We start from the raw sequence: 12,260 nt of genomic DNA on the forward strand, positions 1-12,260 counted from the left end.
ATGCTGGGCTCAGGAAAATGGACATCTTCCAGGGTCCATTTCTGAAATACATGCAGTTGAGAGAAAAAAAAATGTTTCTCATGGCAAACCTTTTCTCAAAAGCACTGTCTACATCATCCTCTGTTTCTGCTCAGTTTTTCCTGTTCGCACGGTTCTCAGAGACAAGCACACAGCCATTCACTTATTTATTTCATTCAGTAATTATTTACTAAGTACTTCTTGTATACTGGGTGCAGTGCTAGTTGTTAAGGACACAGGATTCAAATAACATCTTTGGTTCCTCCCTAAGGACCTCAGTTAGCAGAGGTTAGGTGATACACAACTAGAAGCAACGCTTAAATATAAAAATTGCAAACTGTGCTCAGTGCTATAAAGAAAAGCGACATGACTTTCTGAGAGTCATTGAAAACTGTCTTTTAGGTTAGGGGCAAGAAAACACTTTATGGAGAGGTGATGTTTACACTGAGAAAGAAGAATGAGAAAGAACTAGCCAAGTGAAGACAATATGTAAGTATGGGCACGAGTGTGGGATGGAAGTGGGGTGGGAGGAGAGAAAAAGAAGATGAAAAACATTCATATCAAAGAAACACTGTGTGCAAAAGGCCTTAAGGGCATTTTACAGGAGCTCAAAGAAGCAGCAGCAACAACAACCAAAACCAGCCAACAACAAACTCAGACACCTGGAAGCAGTGATGCAGAGAGCGGAGGAGATGAGATTGGAGGGCAGCCAGGGACCATTTCTTAAAGGCGTTCATTGTAAGCCCTAATAATGCATTCCATTGCCCTCTTATTTTAAGTGTAAAGGTGAGATTAAGGATGAAGGGGATGAAATGATCAGTGTTGTAGTTTTTAAAAGATGACTCTGTAGAGATAATGAATTGGTGAAAGTAGAAGCGGGGAGATCATTACTGGAGTCGTCCAGGTGAAAGATAATCATGGTGAAAGCAGAAAAAATGAAGAAAAATGAAAAGGCTCGGGATAAATTATGGAAGAATAGCAAGAGTGAAAAACAAGAAATCAATGACTCCCAGAGGGTCACAAGAGAACCTTCTGGCATCTTGGAAATGATCCAGGTGGTTACACGGTGTATTCATAAGTAGAAGTTGGTTGAACTGTACACATCAGATGCATGTGCTTTATGCTCTTTTTGCTCTGTGGGCTATACAATACTGGAACAAAAATGTTTAAATAAACTTTCTGGCTTGGCAACTGTGTGGGTATCAGTGCCTTTTTCTCAGCTGGGAAAGCCTAGGGGAGGAGGTGAGGGCAAGGAATCAAGAGACCCATTTTGGTGTGTGGGCACTGAGGTCCCTGAGTGTCACCCAAGTAGACATGCCACATGGGCAGCTGTGTTTATGCATCTGGGACTGAGAGGAGAGACCTGGGGATAAATATCATGGACCCTTCTCATTTTCAGAATTTACTGCTCCATTCTGAGGGAAATCAGATAGGAAATAATAAACACACCTTCTGAGGAAACAAATTGTGGGAAGTTAAACAGGCTCATAAAATCTTAAGAAGTTTTTACACAGACTGTCTTTCGTTTCTATTGAAATTCCAAAGGCCTGATGGTAACCAGAAGCACTATTAGGCTTTCACTCTATGGAATATTTCTGAAGTTCTGGCAGCAGAGAAGATATCCATAAAAATGATTTCCTAAAAATCATGATTGCCCTAGATTTTATTATTGTTCAAAATCTTTCACAGAACTGCAATACAACTGCTTATGTTGGTGATTTTGAAGTGATTAGATAAAATATGGGCATCTATGCCTTCCAAACTTTTGGAAAAAGTAACCAGAAGGAAAGACTCAAATCAAGCATTTTAATACCTAAAGGGTATGGTAAGTTACAATGTTGACTTTGTTAATTTAGTATATACTAGTCAGCAATCAGTGACAACATATCTGCACCCGTATGTCCCAAAGTCACACTCTTTTCCTGGACTTGGAATTATAACAAGAGGAATTGCAATTATCCAGGTAATTAAAACAAAATTACTATGTGTTTTATTCTTGTAAATACATTAGATAACCATTTTCTCTGAAATCGACTAAATCATTTAGTGTCTTCATTATATATTGCTCTGCCTCCTTGATCCTTTTTTATTTTGAGATGAATGAATCTCAGATGATACAATGAAAACAAAAATAAAAGTAGATATATACGCTTGTGTTCTACCCATTCTCATACACACACACATGCACGCACACACAGAACCTTTGCTATTGACATGCAAATGCAACTGTTGTGGGGCGATGTTTACTATAAAGAATAGTTAAGAAATATAAACCCCACTAGGAATCTGCTCCATGAAGAAATATGTTTAGAAACAGATCTGCCACCCACTGAATAGAATACATGTCCAATCTGAAGGTTCATTATAATTATTTCAGAATGAGTTGACAGCAAACTGCATTGAAAGTCAAACACAACATTTAATCTGCCTCCAAGTTAATCATGGCGGGAGTCACACAGTGATTTCTGTGGGGCTGGGAGGATAATTTTCTGGACTATCACCATCCAGTTTACACCAAGTCACTGGAGATACAAAAACATTTTTGAGTCCCCTACATCCCAATAAATTATACAAATTGTCTGTCAAAAGCAAGTTTGATTTAGTAGGCACTAGTGCTAAGCAAGACACCCAGGGGAGCAAACCAGAAACCACTGATAGAAAATACAGAAAGCCTGGAGGGCACAAATGCAATGGGAAAAGATGCAACCGCCATATGGCACAATATAGCTCATGTGACAGTCATTTCTTTATGTGTACTTATGTTGTAAGCACGCCTTAAAAATTCAGTCCAGACTCTTTTAGGGAAGGCGGCAAAAATAATGTAGATATTCAGCGCTTAGAATAGAAGGAGGCATGGACCAGGGTTTGCAATGGCAAAGTGATAATTGAGTTACAGATTACAGAGGTAATCAACATCTACATTCTACATTCTAAATAGCTGTTAATGTTCTAAGCATTAGAACTAAACTAAAAGCAGCAAAAAAAAAAAAAAAAAAAAATCCAGATTCAGTTTATTTGTGGGAGAAAGATGAACAAGTTAATATCAGTGGCTAAACAAAAAGCTAGTACCATGTAGGAATTGCTGAGCAATTTGGCTGGAGTCAGAGACTGCTGTGGAATGAAACCAGGCTCAACCTCTTCCTAATTTCCTAGCTGTGGGAAAACCATGGCAAGTCTCTGTGCCTTCATTTCCTGGTATGTAAAATAGGAATAATAATGGACCTTTCTCATAAGGTTATCTTGAGGATTAAATGAGTTAATTCTTGTTAAACCACTGACAATGCTTGTTAAATAAGTAAGCTCTTAATAAATGTTAGCTACTGTGATTTGCAGATGATGAAACAGCTCAATAAGACGTTTTCCTCTAATCATTATTCTCATGCACTTATTTCATGTTTCACAAGAAGGCAAGAAGTAATTTATGAAAGTTTGTTCACATCCTTACTTGCCTCATTTTCTACTAAAAAGCAAAGGTGACCATATCCTCAGACAATCTTATTCCTTCTTTTTGTTCAATGAACTTGGAGGAACTCTGGCAGTGGCAGTGTCTTTGCTGTCTCAATCAGAAGCTAACGTTCTAGAGATATGCAAATATTTAGTACAAGAGTGTTTTTACAAATTATGTACTAGGCTGCATGTGGGAGTACAATGCACAATAAAACTAGGTCCCCGCCCTCAGGCTGTTACAATAAATTTCCTGGCAGATATTTGGATCCCAGGCAGAGTAGGTGGGTAAGAAGTAGGCAGGTGCCAGGCTGTGCTGCCTGACATGCAATGCATGCTCAGTAAACACTCTCTCTTCTCAGTCTTATTTTCACAATGTTTAAAAACTCTCTAGAATGTCTTTCAATTTTTCAGCCCTTCACAGTTGGATTATGGAAAAAGTAAATCAAGATTTTCCAGTGTGTATTCTCATGCTTAAGCTCTATCACTTACTGTTTTCATGAATTAAAAACAAAATTCTATTTTTCATTGTATTAAAGACTTCCGTTGGTGGTTCACCACACAGAGAGGAAATGAGATGCATCTATGGCCCATTATGTCATTTTATGGCTATTTTTTGCTCGTATAAGAATATTCCCCATAGGATGATTGCTTATCTAACTGTAACTGACTCATGTCATGATGCTTCCTGCCCTAGCTTTAAAAGTTTAAATGATGTCAGATTTTATGATTGAAGACTTTTACCAATAATGAATCTAGTTTGTAATAGAAACTGACAATTTTTAGTCCTGCAAAACTTACCTCTACATGGCACAAAAAATACAGAAACATAAGTAGAAATCAAATTGTAAAATGCGTCCCTGCTGTCTCAATCTGGAACTAACATTTCATATTGTCAGAATATCAAAAAGCTTCCGTTCACAATCATTTGTCTATTTCAGGATATCATAAATGTTTGCTATTACATAGATCAGCATCAAAACCACACTTTAGAAATTTCTTAACAATGAACATTGCAAAGCATAATTCTAACAAGAACTGAATGAATATTGATTGTTACAATAAAATATTTTATTTAAACATTGTATGCACTTGGTGCTTTAAATTGTAAAAGTTATAATTGTTAGATTAAATTAATATTTTGTTATAAAAATTCCCAAAATATGATACATTTATTTTTGAAATGGAGTTTGATCACATGAAGTAAGACTATCATCCTTGATTTTCTATTATTTTATGTCTAATGTCATAGTCCATTTATATTTTTGACCTCATATAATTCATTCATTCATTAATTCAGTAGATATAGTTATTATCTGCTCTATATAAGGCACTGCAGTGGGATCCGAATTGTAGAAGAGAACAAAGCTGACAAAATTCTCTGCCCACCTGAAGCTGCCATCCTAATTTCTCAAACAGCTCTAAATCCCACAAGAAACACAAACATTACTCTGTTATCAGGGATGGTAAAGAGTAGTCAGGATAAAAACATTAACAAACATTTTATGCATTGTCATGGCAATATCATAGAAACAAAAAATGATTCATAATAGAAACATTCTTCATCTATTGAACACATAGTATGTATAGGTCATGAGCTAAGCATTTTATGGGCATTACCCTGTTAACCTCAAAATCTGATGAGTTGTACCATAACTATTTCCATTTTACATATAAGGAAAGCATGTTTCATTCAAGATGACACAGCTTTTAAATGATAGGTCTTCATTTCAATATAGGTCTGGGGTCCAAGTCTGTGTTCTTAAACATTATGTTCAATAAATTCTGGGTTATGCGAGAGGCAGTTGTAATATAATAAATTTCTAGAAAATTAAGCCCATCTAGATTTAGGGCTGATGAGATATTGAAAAAACAATAAGTGTTCAGCAACTCTATTAGAAAGTCTGGCCATAAGGCTGTAGAATTAGCATTTGCACAAGGAACTAAGAGTGGTGCTTCACAATCTTACCGATACATGTGATCGTAATACTTAACACGTGGAAAAGTTGAGTGGCCCAAAAGGTAAGCATTGTTCAAGAGGACCAAAAGAGGATGCAACATTCCTAAGCTCTGTTTCACTTTTGATTTTCACCATTCTATTGCATTAATTCATGACGTTTTGAGTCATTCAGAGGTCATCTGATTAGAGAGTTGCTTTCTTATAACTTTTCCAGACAACTCGCATTATGTATTTGTAGCTGATTCCCTGTGGAAAGAAGTATGAAAATAACCTCATTCTTTTCAAGTCTGAGAAAAGATGCCAAATGAAGGAGGTCAGTAACACACACGACATGGGACAGCTGGGAAACAGGGGACAGGTGCTTTGTGAGTCAGTAGTAGCTGGATTCCGCTCAAGGGTTGCATTCTTCAAGATGTCTAAATATTTGCATCAAGATGAGTGTATTTAATTTGGAAACCATATAAATTAATACAGATCACACATACAAATTAATGCAAATTCAGTGCTCATTTTGAACACTTTTAACAAACCTCTTAATAAAGTCAACTAAAATTCTGGATAATTTAAAAAACAAAACAAAAAAACCTTATGAAGCAGCATGAAAGCAAGAAAACTATGGGTATCAAAAACAAAGAGAAGTCAGGGATCCTGGGAGTTGTTCAAACACCAAAGTTGTCTTTTCTCCTAAGAGCAGAAACTGGGAGATTGGAGACTTTCATTGTAATGGCTGCAGAGAGCACAGAGATCAAGAGATAAGACTTAGGGTTGAGATTGTTACTCTCTACTCCCAGACTATTACTACAGACACAGAGAGTTCCCAGTATTCTGGTCTTGCCGTTCCCTTCCCCAAATAAGTTCAAGCTATAGCCGGATAGCAAAGAGGAGAGTGTGGAGAACAGTGTATGTGGGTCTGGGATTTGTCTTTTCCTTCCTCTCATCTAGATGGATAAAGAACTACCTAGATTTGTAATCTCACCTTCCCCTCCCTTGGGGTCACACAAAAGCCCATCAAGCTTTCTGACAAATGCACTGCTGAAAGCACATTCATAACCCTGTCCAGAAGTGAGCACAAGAATGCACATTCATGCACAATGGATTTGCTCTTGTCTTCCCAAAATCCCAGAGACAAGCCTGGGTGCTTGTCATTTGCTGATTGGAACAAAGGCAGCTACATGAAGGGTGCGCTGATTGTTGTTTATTTGCATGCTGGGCAGTGTTTCCATCATGGTCTATATTTCCTTGGACAACGCCCTCAAATTCCTAGTGAAGTTAGTTTTAGGACTTCTGTAATTTGCTCTAGCCCTCACTTTAGGTCTTTGGACTCTCTCTCCTTCCTTTGCAGATGGAAAGGCAGAGAGGACCAGAGACTGCCAGTAACACTATCTCAGGCCACTTACTTACTCTGGGCTAACACTGCTAGGTCCCAAACACATGTGGCAGGTACTATCATCCCCATTTTGTGAATGTTAAAACTGAGGTTCAGAGAGGTCTAGGAACCCACCAAAGTCACACAGCTAATAGGTAACTCAGGATTCAAATGTTGCTCTGTCTGACCCTACTGCCAGCTCCTTAGAGCTCCCTCACACAGCCTCTGCCTTTGTGGTGGCCGCATTATCAGCTGCTCAGTTCAGGAACTGGCAGTGAGGCTTCTAGAAGCTATGAAGAGTAGCTGTTCCCAGTGTCAATATCCCAGCAACCTGCCTCATGATTCAATTATGGCAAGAGTCTCAATCAAGCTAGGACTTTTAATTGGGCAGACTCAAAGCATTTAGAACACTTTAAAAAAATAAGATTCTTAAAATTCTCAAGTTTTATTGTTTCTGTTTTATTATTCCTTTAGCACTAGATGTCTTATAAAATTAGCTCAGTTATAATGATCACAAGAAAAATACTTTTAATTTCGTTGAATAAGGACCATGTATAGTAGGGTGAGTAATCTCTAAGTCTTCATGCTCTCCCAGAATACAAGATTACTCATGATTCATAGGGACTGTAACACAGGGTCCTTGGGATCTTATGAATAAATCAGTTTCTTTTTCTGAGTGTGTTAATATTCAACTCTTATTGAGAAGGTCAGTTCTCTCTCTGCAGCCATTAGCTTCTTAAGGCCATGGAGCACATTTCTGGAAGCCTACTTACTTTTACCCATCACCTTTTTTCAAAAAACCTGAAACTGGCTCGAATATAATATATTGAATTATGTTTGGGAAGAGTGCTGGGAAAGCTGAACTGATGATCCTCCAAAATATGCTTGTCACCTGCTGTGAGTTTCTGAATCGTGCCATGAAGAATAAAGTACTGCCAGGAGTGTCTCCGAGAAAGTGTCAAAAGTGTCTGATTTAATTGTTAATGTAAGGATTTAAGATGCTGTTTTTCCCTGGTGCTAACATCTCTCATTGATTCTGGAGCATTTCCATTTGTTGTTTAACAGAAAGAGCCTCGGTATTTATAGCCCTATCACTCTAGAAGGGAAGCATTTGCAATTTGCACTTTCAATTTTGACTCCTAGCCTTCTTTTCCTTTAAATACCCTTCAAATGAGTGTCAGATGCAATTCAAAGAATGCTTTGCAAGAGGTTGCACAAAGCAATTCTCATCCCTATAGGTGAACATTTCAGAAGAATCCCCATACTTCTTTGCTAATTGAAATCTAAACTCATGAGCCCTAGTTAGCCTCAATCCCACTATTGTCAGGGCTCAGGGGAAGATTTGTGTGTGTGCGTTCTTGTGTGTATGCTGCAACTGGAGTCATACCCTATGGCAGATTGCTTTATCTAAAAGTGGTCACATCCGTATGTATTTCTATTCCATTCCACATGCTTTTCTTACATGTGATGTTAGCATTCCTCCGTCAAGATATGGGGTCTTTGTTTCTTCCTCTTGAGCTTGAGGGGATCTTTGTAAATCCTTTGATCAATATAATGACATAGAAGTGGTGCTGCATGACTTCCAAAACAAAGTCATTAAAGGCAGGACATATTCTACCTCTCTATTTCTCTCTCTCTCAATGCTGCCCTTTAGCCACCATGTTTTGAGGAAGCCCAAGACACATGGAGAAGCTATAAGTGGATGTTCTAGCCAAAAGTCCCTGGAAACCATTAGCTGATATTGTAACCATCCAATGGGTTCTTTTTGTCCACTGCCCAGGTAGACCCTATTTATCAAGGCAGGGGAATTGCAATAGAGAGTTTAATACACATAGAGCCAGATGATGGGAAGCTAGAATTTTATTATCACTCAAATCAGTCTCTTCAAAGGCTCAGAAGCTAGGGGTTTTTCAAAGCTAGTTTGGGGGAAGAGGTGGAGATTGCTAGGCAATGGGTGCTTGCTGATTGGTTGGGGCTGCAATTATAGGGGTATGGGAAATGTTGCTCCTATGTGCTGAGTCACTGCTGGGTGGGGCTACAGGAGTGGTTGGCTGGTCCAGGCAGAGTCATCAGTAGTCAGATATGCAAAAAACTTGAAAAGATATCTCAAAAGGCCAATCTTAGGTTCTACAACAGTGATGTTATCTGCAGGAGTAATTGGGGAAGTTGCATATTTTGTGACCCCAGGAATAATGGCTGGCAATCCTTTATGTCTACACCTTAGTAGAATTCAGGCTCCTCTATCCTCCTAGCCTGGTGGTCTTTCATTAGCTTTACAAAGGCAGTTGAGTTTTGGGGAAAGGCTATCATCATTTAAACTATAAACTAAGTGTCTACCAAGATTAGTTTGGCTTAAGCCTAAGAATAACTAAGGGCAGATTGAAGGCTAAAGGCAGGATGGGGATTGGCTAGATCAGATCTCCCTTACTACCATAATTTTATCACCAATAAAATTTATGCAAAGGTGGTTTCAATTTCATGACTTCAACCTCACAAGAGACTGAGTCAAAACCAATCATAGGTCAAGCCACACCCTAATGTAACTGCTCAAGGGATTCACCTTGCCCGTTGCCTAGAAAGAGCCAATTTATCAAGACAGTGGAATTGCAATAGAGAAAGTAATTCACACAGAGATGGCTGTGTGGGAGACCCAAGTTTTATTATTACTCAAATTAGTCTCCCCAGGCATTTGAGGGTCAGGGTTTTTCAGGATAATTTGATGTGGGGGGTGGAGCAGTGAGTCAGCAGTGCTGACTGATTAGGTCAGAGATGAAATTATAGGGAGTTGAAGCTGTCTTCTTGTGCTGAGTCTGTTCCTGGGTGGGGGCCACAAGATCAAATGAGCCATTTTATCTATCTGGGTGGTGCCAGTTGATCCATCAAGTGCAGAGTCTGCAAAATATCTCAAGTATTGCTCTTAGGTTTTACAATGGTGATGTTATCCCCAGGAGCCATTTGGGGAGGGTCAGAAACTTGTAGCCTCCAGCTGCATGACTCCTAAACCATAATTTCTAATCTTGTGGCTAATTTGTTAGTCCTACAAAGGCAGTCTAGTCCTCAAGCAAGAAGGAGGTTAGTTTTGAGAAAAGGCTATTATCATCTTTGTTTTAAACTATAAACTAAGTTCCACCAAAGTTAGTTCAGCCTATGCCCAGGAATGAACAAGGATAGCTTGGAGGTTAGAAGCAAGATGGCGTTGCCTGGGTCAGATCTTTTTCACTGTCTCGGTTATAATTTTTCAATGGTGGTTTCACTAGTCCATAGAAATTGTGGGAGATAATATATGATTATTGCTGTTTAAAATTATTACATTTGGAGAAGATTTGTTATGGCACAATTTAGAGATCAATCAGTTCACAAATATATTTTTCCTATTTGGTGGACCAGGGAGAAGAAACAAAGCATTGATCTACTCATTCATTTATTCAACAAGTATTTGCTGAGCACGTACATGTGCCAGGCCTTGTTCTGGGGCTGAGAAAACAGCAGGGAATAAAATAGAAAATTACGCTTCCCTCATGGAGCTGACCTTTTAGAGGACTCGACCGTGTTGCTCCAAGTTTCCCAGGGTGACCACCATGCATTCCATGCTGCTCCCTCCTGTTCTGCTGAGTCAGAACTATTGAAAAGGAGCCAAGTGTGGAATATCCTTAGCATCACAAGGACATTGTCTACTCTTCTCTAATTATAAGTAAAAGAGCTAATAGAATGCAAAGCTAGGGGAAAAAGAGGAAAATGTTAATACTGAATCAAACCTAACTCAATTAAAAAAAAAAAAAGAAAAGAAAAAGAATTTGGTAATAATTTCTGAAGGAAAAAGAAGGAGGAAGGTAATTTTTGATGGTAGAACACTTCTGAGCATGGAAAGTGCATCTGATTAGAGACTTTATCCAGTCAGAGGGAAGCCGGGGACATAGGAAACCATAGGGTATAAGTCAGAAGGAAAAATGAGAAAAATCCAAAGGAACATTATGCTTCCCTGGAAATTGTGCCGAGCCAGCTCTTTTGAAGACACAAAGGGCTACAAAAATCACAACCATTTCTAAGTCACCCCAGAGCTCATATAAAATAGCCAGATTCTATGACAGGTTGCCTGCAATTTTTCTTTTGCTTAGCTCTAAGGGTTTATAAGAGGAAGAGTGAAATCACCAAGCCTAACTTTTCTCTAAGGTGGGTCAATTGACTGCCCACCATAGGCAAATTGCAGATTTTGCAGGCCCCTAGAAAGTTGTAATTGCAGATTGATTCCTCCATCCTAAGAGGAGGAAGAGTAAAGCTGCTCACTAGGCTCGAAGCTGGGTAGAGAGCCTGGTCAAACTGTTGGTGCCTCATGACTCAGGAGCCAAACAGCAAGGCACCTTGTGAGAAAAGATTGGAAGCACCGCCAGAGCTCTGAGGACTTCCCAGCAAGCCTAGGAGTGTGAATGCCTAGGAGATGGCCAGCTGGAAAGCAATCTTGGGTCTCAAAGGATTTCTCTGCTCTCTTGTGAAAAACAATAATCTTCACTTCCAGCAATCACCTGATTAAAAATCTCACTTCCGTGGTCTCTAAAGTTCTTTCAATATCTAAAAAAAATTTGGCATAGTCTTTTATCACAACTATGGCTAAGAGGAAGCAAATAAAGTCTGGGAATCTTGATAGGTATTTTTTTGTTGTTGTTAATTAAAGAGTTTCTAAGATTAACCTTCTCTCTACAACTTACAGCCTCTTAAAGTGGAAAAGATAAAAGTGTCATCTAAAGAAAAATGCCCCAAACTAAAGCTGGCTTAAATGGAGAAAACTCATAGAGAGAGTTACTTGTGTTTTAAACACATACACAATATAAATGGTGTCAAAAGTTTAGAATCTAGAATTTTTAAGTCTACTTTATGTTATCTACAGAATACATTCTAAATTTGAAAGCAAACTAAGAACAATATTTCTCTTAGTGTTTATTTCAGGTTTCTTTTGCCCCAAATTAATTGGGAAGCAGGGAAAAATAAAAAACTAAAAAATGTTTCATCCAACCACAGGGAGAAAACCAAACACTCAGCCAAGCTATTCGCCTGGGCAGCCTGCACCTAGAAAGCACAAATGACTCTCTCTTCTACCCTTCTCTCTGATAAAAGAATACTGAGCTATTCTTTGAATGAAAGAAGAATCTCTACCTACATAGTGAGATATACCTTTAAGGGGAAAAATAAAAATACTTCTTGGAAAGTACACAGTTATATGGTTAAGGGATTTTTTTTTCCCCTTAACAGAAAAATTATAAACCTACCAAAACATGAACATTGTCAAAAGATCAAGGAAAAACATTTTTGCCATATTTATAGATTTTTTTTTTTAGTGACAGCTTATTCAAATCACCCAATAGGAAAATGACTTACAACCTGGCAGAAAAATGGCAAAAGGATGTGAAGTGGCAATGTACAGACAGCAATATAAATAGTTATCATACAAGAGATATTCAGTTTCACTCATTCATGAAA

This window comes from Homo sapiens, chromosome 2 (assembly GCF_000001405.40).
Source record: "Homo sapiens chromosome 2, GRCh38.p14 Primary Assembly".
NCBI lineage: Eukaryota > Metazoa > Chordata > Mammalia > Primates > Hominidae > Homo > Homo sapiens.